Source organism: Homo sapiens, chromosome 9, assembly GCF_000001405.40.
Source record: "Homo sapiens chromosome 9, GRCh38.p14 Primary Assembly".
Classification (NCBI taxonomy): Eukaryota; Metazoa; Chordata; class Mammalia; order Primates; family Hominidae; genus Homo; species Homo sapiens.
This window is the reverse complement of record NC_000009.12, coordinates 83,259,013-83,272,942: the sequence shown is the minus strand read 5'-3', so window position 1 is coordinate 83,272,942 and position 13,930 is coordinate 83,259,013. Positions and strand designations below refer to the sequence as shown.

The following is a 13,930-nucleotide window of genomic DNA, read 5'->3' as shown; positions in this document are numbered from 1 at the left end:
CGGGCGGAGGGGCTCCTCACTTCTCAGACGGGGCGGCTGCCGGGCGGAGGGGCTCCTCACTTCTCGGACGGGGTGGCCGGGCAGAGACGCTCCTCACCTCCCAGATGGGGTCGTGGCCGGGCAGAGGCGCTCCTCACATCCCAGACGGGGCGGCGGGGCAGAGGCACTCCCCACATCTCAGATGATGGGCGGCCGGGCAGAGACGCTCCTCACTTCCTAGATGGGATGGCGGCCGGGAAGAGGCGCTCCTCACTTCCCAGACTGGGCAGCCGGGCAGAGGCGCTCCTCACTTACCAGACTGGGCAGCCGGGCAGAGGCGCTCCTCACTTCCCAGACTGGGCGGCCGGGCAGAGGGGCTCCTGACATCCCAGACGATGGGCGGCCAGGCAGAGATGCTCCTCACTTCCCAGAGGGGGTGGCGGCCGGGCAGAAGCTGCAATCTCGGCACTTTGGGAGGCCAAGGCAGGCGGCTGGGAGGTGGAGGTTGTAGCGAGCGGGGATCACGCCACTGCACTCCAGCCTGGGCAACATTGAGCACTGAGTGAACGAGACTCCGTCTGCAATCCCGGCACCTCGGGAGGCCAAGGCTGGCAGATCACTTGGGGTTAGGAGCTGGAGACCAGCCCGGCCAACACAGCGAAACCCCGTCTCCACCAAAAAAAAAAACGAAAACCAGTCAGGCGTGGCGGCGCCCGCCTGCAATCCCAGGCACTGGGCAGGCTGAGGCAGGAGAATCAGGCAGGGAGGTTGCAGTGAGCCAAGATGGCGGCAGTACAGTCCAGCTTCAGCTAGGCATCAGAGGGAGACCGTGGAGAGAGAGGGAGACAGAGGAGAGAGAGGGAGACAGAGATGGAGGGAGAGGGGGAGGGGGAGGGAGAGGGAGAGCAGGAGCAGTGACTTAACAAGAGCAACTATCTTGAGTCACAATCATGCTTGTTGGCTTTCCTTACCTAAGTTAACCGACTGCTTTGAATGATGTGCTCTTTTCCGTTTATAAATAAGTTGGAGAGTCAGGAAAATACAAGGAAGTAAGTCATGATAAGGAGGTCTTAGAGCTACTGAGAACAGTGGTGTTGAAGAATGCCCAGCTGTGCTGCTTGAACTATACTTTGTCTGCAACTGTATTCTCCAGAGGATTTTTATTGACCTTTCCCCAGACTCTACAAGGTGATGCTGGGCCCCAGAGAGCAGTTATCTCAGCTTACAGGCAGGAAACATTCAGTCTGATATGGGAAATCATAAGAGGAACAGTGTCTAATATGCCAAAGCATCTTATGCATTTCCAGGGTTTTGTTCATGTAAGTTATCATAATTTGACACTCATGACCATTTCTTTGAATTGGATAGAACAGATACTGTTGTCTCACTTTCCAAACAAGGAAATTAAGTTATACAAATGGTTGATTACCTGGCCATATGGTCCTTTCTCTCAGTCTCTCAGTGATGTTGGGAACAGCTTCCCTTTCTTTTTACTGTATACCCAAGAATATACCCCTCCTATCATAAATATATTATTAAAATTATTGTTTATATGTTTTATTAATACAATCTTTAAAAAGTCCTCTGAAGTATATGTTAGTCCCAAGGACTCTTTTTAATGGATACTTAATGTCTAACCTGATTACAAAGAACATTTAATGAATGTAATAATAATTTATTATCTTTCCACTTGGAGCTAGCAGTTAGCTAAAATTTCAGTGAATCTCTCAAACTATTTTAACTAATGGCTGACTCCACTATACTTGTCAAGTCTGTTGGTTTCTAATGTAGATAAATTGCATGATATTGATGATGATATAATTATAGTTAGTATTTATTAAATGCCTATTCCATGTCAGGAACCCAGTCATGTAAACACCCAGTATCCTCACCATTTTGCAGATAGAAAATTGCATTCAGCAGGCTTCTGTAGGTTTCCCAAGGTAATAGGCATGGCCGGGTTAACTCCTCACAACCAGCAATACTGCTACTATTGGGGAGGAGTAACTCGTAATAGTATGTTAAGACATATGGTTGACAGAAGGAAGAGAATCCAGGCTATTTAAAATCCTCACAGTCTTCCTCTTGAGCAGTTAAAAAGAGACCAAAAAAAAAAAAAATGACCATGTATTGAAAAAAAATCGCTAACATTTATTGAGTAAATTGCCGTGCAAGGCACTGATCTGAGAATGCCATGTGTATTAACTTGATTAATCCTCACAACCACCCCTTGGAGGTACACACTGCTTTTACATCTGTAAAATGAAAGCTTTTGTTACAGATGTGGAAACTGAGGCTCAGAGATGATAAACGATGCAGCCAGGATTGGAACCCAAGGACTGCTCCAAAGTCTGTGCTTTAAATCTTGCCTTCTACAATTGCTTAATAAGTTCTGGTTCATAGGAGCCAGCTCTATGTTAGGCACTTGATATGTATCTCTCATTTCCTTGTCATAACAACCATGAGAGGAGTTGTTGTCTCCATTTTACAGTCAAGGCACCAGGGCTCCCAGATGTCCAGTAACTTCTAGCCACTCACAAAGTAGAGGCAACTTTGTTGCCTTTCCCCGGATCTGTGTCCGGTGGTTTGTGCAGGAGCAGCCATGGAATTCAGGCTCATGAACAGTTCTTATCACTGAATGCCATTCTTCTTCTTTGGTTTCAGGCTGACTTAGCAAGCAGTGTTTCTGACATCTCATTATGGAAAATCGATTCTCCTCTTCACACATCTTCTGCTTTCTTTGGCCTCTTGTCACTGCCCAGACATGCATTCCCAATTCTCAGACAAACAAATGAATTGAAACAGGAACAGTATTCAAGGGCATCCAAATGTTGTGCTACTGATACTGTTCAGTTGAGCACAGTGGCCTGAACCAGAACAATGCTCACTGTGCAGGATCCTGCAGAATCTTTGGCTTGGTTCCATATTCCCACCTCTCTTTTCTTGTTCCTCTTGAAAGGTAGACACCCCTGTGGGCAGAGTCAGACAAGGTAGAGAGAAATGGCTGAGGCAATATAGAATGCTTGTCTTGCTAGCTTATCTTTCTCCATGAAAGGAGAAGATCCATAAAAAGCAAGAGTAAAGGAATCTACTTACGATCTCTGAAAAGTAGCGTAAAGAGTGAGAGCAGGTTTAAGAGGGGAAAAAGTGAAAAACATGTGAAATGCTAAATATTATGACTGGCTATAGTTAAAATAATAATAATACTTTTGTTTGTTTGTTTATAGTAAAATAATAATAATACTTTTGTTTTTTGAGACAGAGTCTCACTCTGTCTCCCAGGCTAGAGTGCGGCGGTGAGATCTCGGCTTGCTGCAACCTCCGCCTCCCGGGTTTATGCAATTCTCCTGCCTCAGCCTCCCGAGTACCTGGGATTACAGGTGCCCGCCACCACGCCTGGCTAATTTTTTTGTATTTTTAATAGAGATGGGGTTTCACCATGTTGGCCAGGCTTGTTTTGAACTCCTGATCTCAAGTGATCTGCCGGCCTCGGCCTCCCAAAGATAATAATACTTTTAAAATGAAAGGTAGGAAGGAGGCATTTGAAACAATGGTGAGATGTTAAGCTTGAGAATTATGGAGAATAACTATCCTGGTAGAAAAAAACAGAAATAAAATATGGTGATAGTTTTGTTTCAGGTTTTTTACTTGTTTTCTCTTTTGTCTTTGGAAGGTCTGTTTGTTTCAAGTGAGCTGTCAGGTCATATGTTGTTTTAACATGATGATAAACATAAAGATTTATCTATATTCCCTTCAGACAGGCCAAAGGGAGATTTCCTCAGTATTGAGCCATGGCCTACTGCCATGCAAATGAGCCCCGGTTAATCTATGAAATTCATCGTGTGTTACTGCAAAGTAGTGATTTATTGTGAACAGTGATTTTCAGATTTGTTCTTCAGTGTCCTAAAGATTTTTAGTAGTTCTTCAAGAACCATTGTTGGTGACTAGTGAGGGAGGTGTAGTAGGTACTAGTCCTGGGCCCCACCTTTGCGTCAGTCTATCTGTTTTAAACCTGGGGATTCTGCTCAGAATTATATAATCAGGGGGAATTGCAAAGGGTTGAAGATTTTGAGAACTTTTAGGGATATTTTCCTTTCAAGCTTCAGGGTTGAAAATTAACTAACTCCTGTGAGAGTAGGAACTCCTCTGCCACACTGGAGGCTGCTCACCCAGGAGAGGGGAGTGGGGGGCCCATTGAGGTCCCTGGAAATGGCCTGCCCCACCTCAGCCACAGTGCATGGCTGGCAACACCCTTTTTCCCTTCTGGGATTTACTGTCTGGTCTTACATTTATCCTGTGTGCAGTTTTACATAGTCGATGCCACACCATTTATATAAAGATGCTTTTTTCAGTTAGTAGTATATTGCAAGCATTTTCTCACATCATTAAATTCTTCTAAACATGAATTTTAATGTCTGTGCAATATTTCATCACATGTATTTAACCATTTTCCCACTGGAAATATAGGTTGACTTAAAAAACATTTTTGGCTATAATAAATGATACTCTGATGAACATCTTTGTCTTAAGATTTTTGTCAGCATTTCTGATTATTTTCTCAGGGTTAATTCTTAAAAGTGGAATTTCTGGTTCAAAGAATACCACAGCTATAAAAATCCATGTATTTTGCTAATTTTCTTTCCAGAAATGCTAAATCAATTTTATATTGATGCATAACAACATGGAATTTCAATTCCTGCTCTGAATAAACCTTTGTTTCATAGAGGATTATTAGAAAATCATCTTTTGGTGACAGATATTTAAAGTAGAAGAATGTATGCAGGCGTGTTGAAATTGTGTGAGGAAAATTTTTTCTTCTCATCCTTTTCATGAAAAGTCAGAATGTAGTGGTTGCATGGCACCTGCATTTAGAACACTAACTTTAGTCAGCCGATATTAATTGGAAGCCTAGGTTCAAATCATGGCTTTGCCACTTACTAACTTCGTGATTGTGGTCAGGTCAGTTACTCTCTCTAAGTTGTCGTTTCCTTATCTGTAAAGTGAAGAAAAGATTAGCATTGTTATGAGATGGAGATAAGGCATGTGAGGAATCCAGCACTTTGAAAAGAGCTGAGATTACCATGACAGCAACCATATATAGCTACTGAACACTTGAAATGGAGCTGGTTCGAATTGAGATGTGCTATACATGTGCAGTGTGCAACACACACTAATTCCAAAGGCTTCGTCCCAAAAAAGAATGCAAACTCTTTATTAATAAAAGAGTTGATTAATTATTAATAAATTTTGATATCATTACCTGTTGAGATACTATTTGAATATCTCGATTTCAAATAAAACACATTATTAAAATTAATTGTAATACATTTATTTTGCTTTTTAAATGCTTTTTTTCCCTCTTTGAAGTGGCTTGTGTTATAATCTTACTGGACAGTACTGCTGTAGAATATAATAAAGGCTGGAGGAGCAATTTTTAGAAGAAAAAGTGGGTTATTTCTCCATTATGGAATTATCCAGTTGTCATCTTATCTTTTGGGGACATTTGATTCTTAGGAAATGATGAGGCATTTGGACAGGGTCCTCTGTTTTGGTCCGGAAGGTTTAGAAAGGCTAGAGTAGGGATGATGCATAATCTTTCATTGTTTGTTAGAGGGGTGAGTGGAGAGTTTAAAAATAGCGTCCCCTCCCTCCTCCCCTCCCAATGCTGATCCCTCATGAGTTATTTCTGTTGGCCGCATTAGGAACCTGACATTTGATTCATTCAGTGGGTCCTGCCTAGGTCCTTTAAAACAGAATGGACTGTTAGGGAAAGGCTGCCCTGGGCCATGCAGGCCGAGGAGACCAAGGGGATTGGAATAACCAGTATGGCAAAATGCTTGGTCAAGATCCAGACTCGACGAAGCCTCCAATTGCACATGGTGAACCACTGCAACAGTAATGTGTTTGTTCGTCTGCTGAGACTCGGCTCCAAGGTCACAGCTCGTAACACTGGTATGTGTGGTGCCCTGGGCTGTCATCCTGTTCCTGAAGTGTGCGGGCTTCCAGCTTCCTGCTCACTGCTGGTGGAGAGAGGCCCAGGGTGAATTTGGTGTCAGAGGTTTTTGATAAGGATGAAAAGAGAGAGAGGAAGGGAGAAAAGCAGAGACGAGTGGGAAGGAGGGTGAGCAAGCCAGTGCAAAGGGGAAACAGGAGGGTGTGTTCCAAATGATATAAAGTTGTCATAAATACAAATTACACCCTAGTCAGCAGTGAGTCAGGAGGGAGAGGGAGGCAGTGGTGGTGTGTACCTCCAGATTGTTCCATAACATGAGAAGATTAGGGAGAAGGCAGAATGGATGATCACAACACGCTCCCCCTCCTTTCATTGTTGAAAGGGTCAGAGCTCAGATCTGCTTGCTTGCTGGGGTGAGGCGGAGCACCACTTTTATCCTCAAGGCAGAGCTTTACTCAAAATATTGGCCAAAGAATTGGAACTGACCTTCTGCCAATTTCCTTTTCATTGTAAATATATTTTGTTATTTTATGGTCCTTGAGGGAAATAGGAATTGAAATAGGAACTTAAAAAGTTAGAGCTTACAGCAAGAAAGAAGCTGTGGCTATATGTATAAATGTGGTTTTTACCAATTGATTAACACAAAATACAACCTGGAAAATGTCTGTAATTGGCTATATCTCATGCACATGTGTGAAACTGACTTCTAAGTGAATTGAGACGAAATTGATTATATTTGTATAATGACATAATACATGATGTGTTCTTGTATAAAAGAGTTTTTAAAAGAACAAATATATAGATGCTTTCCGTTAATACTCCCAATAGTTGATCTATGAATACTGCCACATGGGATATAGGATTTTTTTTTTTTATAAATGGGATTGTTCAAGATATATTATTGCAGAATTAGTTTTCTTACTTTATCATATGACTTGAAGGACTTTCCATATCCATACATATTAATATACATCCTTTTTATAAATGGCTGGATAATATTAGGTAATATAAAGATATCATAACTCAGTTATTTAATTACCAAATTATTGTTGGAAATGGTTATGGCTCGTTTTTTGGCTGTAACAGATGGTACTGCAATGCATATGTATACAGAGGCATTTCTCTTTAATAGATGCTTCAAAGTATAATTGTTGGGTTGAAGGATATACGAATTGTAACTTTTAATGGAAATGGGCAAATTATCCTCTAAAAGCAAATTCTAACAAGGTGAGTATGAGCTTGACTATTCCCCCACATAATCACTCACCCTGATATGGCCAGTTTCTTAAAAGTTTTGCAAAATGGTTGAAAGGAAAATGAGATTTCATTGTTTTAATTTGCATATCCCTTTTTATCAGTGAAGATGAGGATCTTTTCAAATAATTGTGTATTTTCATTTCTTCTTTGCAGAACTGCCTATTTGTTTACTTAGTACATTTCTATTGTGTTTTTGTCCTTTCCTTATAGATTGTAGTATTTCTTTTATAATGTGAATATTAATCCTTTATATTTTACAAATGTTAATGTTTTCTCTCCTAATTGGTTCTTGGCTTTCAACTTTTATTTAATGTTAACTTTATGACACAGGCACTTTTTTTTTTTTTTTTTTTTTTTTAAGAGTCTCGCTCTGTTGCCCAGGCTGGAGTGCAGTGGCACCATCTCGGCTCACTGCAAGCTCCACCTCCCGGGTTCACACCATTCTCCTGCCTCAGCCTCCCGAGTAGCTGATATTACAGGCGCCTGCCACCACGCCCGGCTAATTTTTTGTATTTTTAGTAGAGACGGGGTTTCACCGTGTTAGCCAGGATGATCCCAATCTCCTGACCTCGTGATCCGCCCGTCTTGGCCTCCTATAGTACTGGGATTACAGGCATGAGCCACCGCACCTGGCCGACACGGGCACTTTTTATATGCACAGAGAACTTCTGTATGTGCAAACTATTTGCTTTCTGTATATTTTAGGTTTCTGTTTTTATGTTAGTTTTCCCCATGCCAAGATTATAAAAGTGTTTCCTGTTTTTATTCTTCATAATTAATGCATTTACTTGAACTCTATGAAATTGCTGATAATAACTGCTTATGACCTTCAAAATTGGCAATTTCACGTGGTATCTAATTTTTTTTTTAGTTTAACCCTTTATCTTCTTAGGAATTTTTACACGTGCATGACATGGTATAGGGATATACCTTCCCCCCTCCCCCCACAATTGGTTAGCAACTTTTTGCAAAACTTTTTCATAAACAAATTTTCCATTATATTAAAGGGTATATTTCTGAATTATATCTTTTATTATTCCTGCTCCATTACTATACAGTATAGTTTTAATATCAGGTAGGTCAGGTTTCCCCTGCATTGCTTTTTTTCAAAGGAAGTTATACTTTTAGAATGATTTTTAGGTTCACAGTAAAATTAAAAGGAAGGCATAGAAATTTTCCACATATGGGGAATTTCCCTCACACATGCTCAGCCTCCCCCATCATCAACATCCCACACAAGAGAAGTACATTTGTTACACTTGATGAGCCTGCATTGAGACATCATGACTATTCAAAGTTGATCGTTTGCGTTAGGGTTCACCTTGGTGGTGTACATTCTGTGGGTTTGGACAAATGTTTAATGGCATGTATCTACCCCTGTTGTATCATACATAATAGTTTGACTGCCCTAAAAGTTCTGTGTTCCACCTATTTCTCTCTCTCTTCCCCTAATTCCTGGCAACCACTGGTCTTTTTATGATATTCATAATTTTGCCTTTTTCAGAATGTCAATTAGTTGGAATCATACAATATGCAGTCTTTTCAGACTGGCTTCTTTCACTGAATAATATGCATATAAGCTTCCTCTATAGCTTTTCATGGCATTTCTTAGCACTGAATAATATTCCATTGTCTGGATGTGCTCACTGATTTATTTTCCAGAAGTTTTTGATTATTAATGTGTACATTTACCATTTGTCTTTTTTGAAAGTGTGTTGGATTTTCTATTGAAATTGCATCAAATTTTAGATTAATGAGAGGAGAGCTGAATTTTCAATGTATCAAGGCCACTATTCAGGAACAATATTATGTTTTTCTATTTATTGAGATTTTCTTTTATGCTACTTTGTTATATTTTAACATTGTCCTCATGCAAGTTTTCCAGGCTTCTTGTTATGGATATTCCTGGATATATATGGATGTTTTAATTTGTGCATTTGGCTATTTTGAATGATACTTTCCATTATCATTTTTTATATTGTCTCTTCTGTATGCAGTAAACCACCTGCTTTAATATGTTGATCTTGCATTCCAACACCTTTTTAAACTCTTATTAATTGTCCTGTTTCATTTTCATCTCTTTTCTATGTAGATAATTCTATTATCTGGAACTAGAGTTTTGTGCCTTACTTTCCAATATTTACACTTCTTATTTTTTGTCTTCATCATATTGCATTAGCTAGGGCCAATACTGATGTGTGGTGATAATTCTTTGTAATGTTCCTGACTTTGGTGGGAATTCTTCCAACGTTTTGCTATTATATAATGTTTGCCATGACATGTAATGATTTCTACAATTCTCTAGTAGATATTTCAAGTCCCTTCCTTTCAGGAGATAAAATTTTAGTGGAAAAACCCATAATAAATCTGCAGCACAGTGTAATGACTGACTGTGAAGATAAAGAGATCCAGAAGATGGTATGACAGCTGCATCACTTAGGATGCCATCATCAGCAAGTAATGAGGAATTCTAATTAGCACTGGTTTAAATAATAAGGTGATTTATTATCCAAGACAAGTCCAGAGTCAGAGAGGATTCCAGGGTTGAGGACCAGTTTCATTTTATCTCTACATCACTCTTCTCAGTCAGCCAAGCTTCCCCTCATGCCGTTGCTGTCAGCACCATAGGACGGCTGCCAGTTTCTGCTGTTTCTTTCAGTTACAACAATGTCAACAGATAAGGAGTCTGTACCATTCCAGGATGATCTTCTTAGAAGTAAAAACCTTTCTCAAAAATCCATCCCCTCAGGCCCCCTCCCCTCTTCCCCTTTGATTTTTATTTTCAGGGTTGGCCCATATGCCCGTTTTAAAACCAAATGTGACCAAGAGACTGGAATTACCACGACTGGCTTAGACTAATCATTTGGAGAGAAATGGGCCATAAGGAGTCAACCATGAAAAGTACCAGATAAGTAGCATATATCTCAGTCCGGGAGTGGGGGATAGGAGAGCCTTCCCAGAGGACATAACACATAGGGTCTTAGAGGATGAGTAAGAGCTATCTGGGTGCAGAGGACATTCCAGGAAGAAGTAGCAGTCTGTGCAAAGACACAGAGGCATGACATAGCATGACACATATGGGAACCCCTCAATAGGTGGGCAGGGAGGAAGCGTATGTGGTAGAGTAATGCTTTTTGTACCAGGCTAAAGAGTTTAATTTAATATTTAACCTGAAAGGCTGAGAAACCTTTTAAGAAGAGGACTGATATAAATAATTAGGCATTTAAAAATGATTATTCTGGAAACAACTTACAATAAGCTGGACTGAAATCAAGGAAACCAGTTAGGAAGCCATTGCTATCATCCAGTTAAGAAGTGATAAGAATGGAGAGGCAGGGATAACTTTGAAAATGAAGAAGGTGGCAGAGTTTGCAGAAGTTAATGACAGATGTGAGCAGTGCATGAAAACAAGTAATTTTGGCCAATCCTTGGATTGCTGATATAAGAAACTGAAGAAAATATGGTGTCATTTACTACATAGTGTGTGTTATTGGAGGTAAAGAGTTGGGAGGGAGATGATGCATTTGGGTTTGGATGTATTGAAGTCGATGTTCCTATGTACAGTTGCCTGGTAAATCTCATTGGAGGGTTCTGAGTTGAGATAGACCAGAGATTCAGCAACATGGATTTTCCAAACTAAGTTGTGTTCTATGTTCTCTGGGAGAATTAATTTGAGAAATATTGAGTTACATGAAACTGATTTCTTCTATTCAGGACCTTGCAGACATTTTTATATACTAGTAGTAATATTATTGAGTGCTTACCAGTGTCAGGCACTTTGCATGTATTAACTCAGGTATTCCTCTCCACACAATATCTGCATGCAGTATGTGCTGAAATTTTCCCCATTTTACAGATGAGGAAACTGGGAATAGCACAATTAGGTAATTAAGAAACTGTCGGTGGCAATTAGTACAAAGCCAGGATTCGAACCCAGAAAGGTGACTTCAGAGTTTGGATTTTTAACCTTGATGGTAATATCCAAAAGAGTGATAGAGTGTGCAGTTTCCCAAACTTAGCTGACCATGGAACACTCTTTTCAAGGGACAGCTGGCAGAACCTTAAGGGACACTGGTGACCTGTAGTACCAGGTTGAACAATACTGTAGTAGCATATTGGAGCCATAAATATGGTTGAAACACCAAGAAAGAGGGTACAGAGCAAGAAGAGCAGAGAGTTTAGGCCCTCACAAGTAGTGAAGAGACTGTGAAGACAGAGGTAGCTTAGAATCATTGGATGGAAACCAAGAGAGTATGGAACCTCAGAGGTTGAGTGATCTGTAGGAGGACAGAAGAAAACACTCATTGGCTTTAGCAATATGGTGATCATTGGAGACTTTGTGAGAGCCATTTCAGCAGGTGGGGAGAGCAACTGACCATGGTGTCAAGATGGTCAGCAAAAGTAGAGGCATAACCAAGAGGCTGGCAAATGATGGCTACTTGGAGAAGAGAGAGTTTAGTCTGCAAGGATGAAGCCTAAGGATGGGGAAAGAAGAACAAGAAGAATGCCAGCCTATGCTGGCAGCCCTGAGTCCCAGGAGAAGATGTTTACATGAGAGGCAGTGTTCCAGATTTCAGCTGGGGAGCAGCGATGGGAGAGTATTAGGATCTGCTGTGTGTGTGTGTGTGTGTGTGTGTGTGTGTGTGTGTGTCTAAGTTTCCTTTTGTGGATACTTTCCTGAGTCACTGGAATGACTCTTCATAGGTTTTTAATAGAATGAATTGGTGACTCCCAAAGATATTCAGAGGCACCAGGAACATTTGTAGTATTAGATCTTCTGCAGTGTCCATTGCTGAAAGTAAAAACTCTCATCTGGAAAAGTAAATGTCATTCTTAGGATTTTTCTTTAAACCCATGGGACAGGAGTTTCGCTTGAAGTATTAAACTTTATCCTCCAAAAAGGAGCGATAAAGGAGTCACATGTGAGGTTAATGGTATACTATCTTACTAAATTTTAGAAGTCTGCATGCTGCTTATTGTGAATAGAAAACATTTGAGGGACTGATAGAACATGTAGAGAGTATAGTAATAAAGTTTATTTTATTTCTAACCTAAGTCATTAAGTCCCGCAACAGCCAGTGGTTTTTGTGTATGTGTGTGGCTTCTATCGTGGCTATGATACCATCACAGGAGAGCTTACTTATAATTAAGTTATCATAAAATTTATTTGAGAGTGAAAAGGGAATTTTAACAATACTGCCATACTGACACTATGACAGACATAGAGTGGGACTGTTCCAGGCAAATGGGGATGAATGGGCACCCTACATGTAAGGACACCATGGGTTCAGCAGATGAAATGGGGCCAGTAACAGAGAAGCTTCTTCCCCCTTAGTTAAGAAGTGAGAGTCTCTCTGGGCTTCTCAGATCTCCTTCTCTTCAGCCAACATGGTAAGTTTGGAGAAAGCATGGGCTTTGGAATCAGACAGGCATGGATACAAACCTCCGCTCTGTTGCTTCCTAATTTTGTGACCTTAACTTGCCTATGCCTCATTTTTCTCATGACTTATGAATATCACATGCTCATATATTTAAAGTATCCAGCCGAGTAGACATTTATTAAAAATCTTAGTGCCCCTGTCTCCTTTTCTCTTTCTACATATAACTTTAAGTAGGACAGTTTATGGACAGACATAGTCTAAGATGGAGCCACAGAATGCTGGACTGGGGAGGGTCTGGTCCATTTTGCAGGTAAAAAGTCCAAGACTATAGAACTGAAGTGGCATGCCTAATGTTGTTCAGATAGCCGTGGCTTAGCTGGGAACCTGAGTCCAGGTGTCTTAGGCCACTGCTCTTTTCACTCCATCATATTTTCCAGAAGTGGAGTGGTGATCTGCTCTTTTTTCCTCTCCCACTCTTCCTTCACCTTTCTCCTTTTTACCCTGAATTCAAGAGTACAGCATGCCTCCCAGAGCAAGTATTGCCAAGATGATCAACATTAGATCACTCAGTTTAGCCCACCTCAGGAGGAATGGGTCTGGTTAGTAACAACTATGAGACATCTATAGAGACCTGACAGTTTCACATGTGCTTGAGCTGTGGTTGTCATACTTTCAGGTCCAGTGTCCCCCTAAAAAACAAAAACCTTGTAATGTTCTCGCTACCATCCTGAGGTGTAACTTTTAGAAAACACAGTCTACCTACACTTAACTAAGTCAAAATAATGCTCTAACTGTAATATAAGGAGAAATTAGGAGAAAATTATTTATAATAAGAATTTCCAAAGGTTTTTCTCAAGCATGACTCACTAGAAGGCAGAATCAAAGTGTGAGATACTTTGAATAAGGGGAAAATGGGCATCAAGGGAACCACCCAACAGACGCAGGGTGGTGACATGTGCCATGAGGTAGGCAACTCAACTCCTTAGCATCCCTGATGATGATGTGATATTCTGAACTGCTAAATCCTCAGCAAAGATCTTCCCTGAATTTACCCAGAGGTTGTATTCCTGAAAAACTTAAAATATGTTAAAATTACACCCCAAATGCTTTTTGTTTAAATGTAAAACAGATCATTATAAATAGGTGTTCCATCTGTATGGATAATATCTGATATCTGACATTTGAAAGTTGTGTGGTATACAAAATAATTCTTCATTTTGTGAAATTCTCCTACACATTTCAGCATGTCTGGCATCCCCGACCCCTACCCATCAAATGACACTAGCCCCTCCAATCATTGTGGCATCTATAAAAGCCTCTATTATGTTCTAAAACACCTTCCTCCCAGCTGAATGGTGGT

The 13,930-nt window shown here is 40.5% G+C and overlaps 1 protein-coding gene and 1 long non-coding RNA gene across 14 annotated transcripts in view; one reads left to right on the top strand and one right to left on the bottom strand.

Annotated features, from left to right (window-relative positions):
- FRMD3 (FERM domain containing 3) overlaps positions 1-13,930 on the top strand; it is a 342,803-nt gene that overhangs the window by 312,852 nt on the left and 16,021 nt on the right. For 2 of the 13 annotated variants that reach the window (NM_001244962.2, NM_001375487.1), the window contains exon 1: positions 5,675-5,931. The exons of the other annotated variants lie outside the window; for them this stretch is intronic. In NM_001244962.2, the coding sequence (NP_001231891.1) occupies positions 5,766-5,931 (166 nt within the window). In that variant the 5' untranslated portion in view covers positions 5,675-5,765. Of the gene's footprint in view, positions 1-5,674; positions 5,932-13,930 lie in introns of those variants that run through there. 13 annotated transcript variants of the gene reach the window in all.
- Positions 2,110-13,930, bottom strand: part of FRMD3-AS1 (FRMD3 antisense RNA 1) — a 51,489-nt gene continuing 39,668 nt past the window's right edge. The window contains exon 3 of the long non-coding RNA NR_184120.1: positions 2,110-2,948. This is a non-coding gene — a long non-coding RNA (FRMD3 antisense RNA 1). The remainder of the gene's footprint in view (positions 2,949-13,930) is intronic.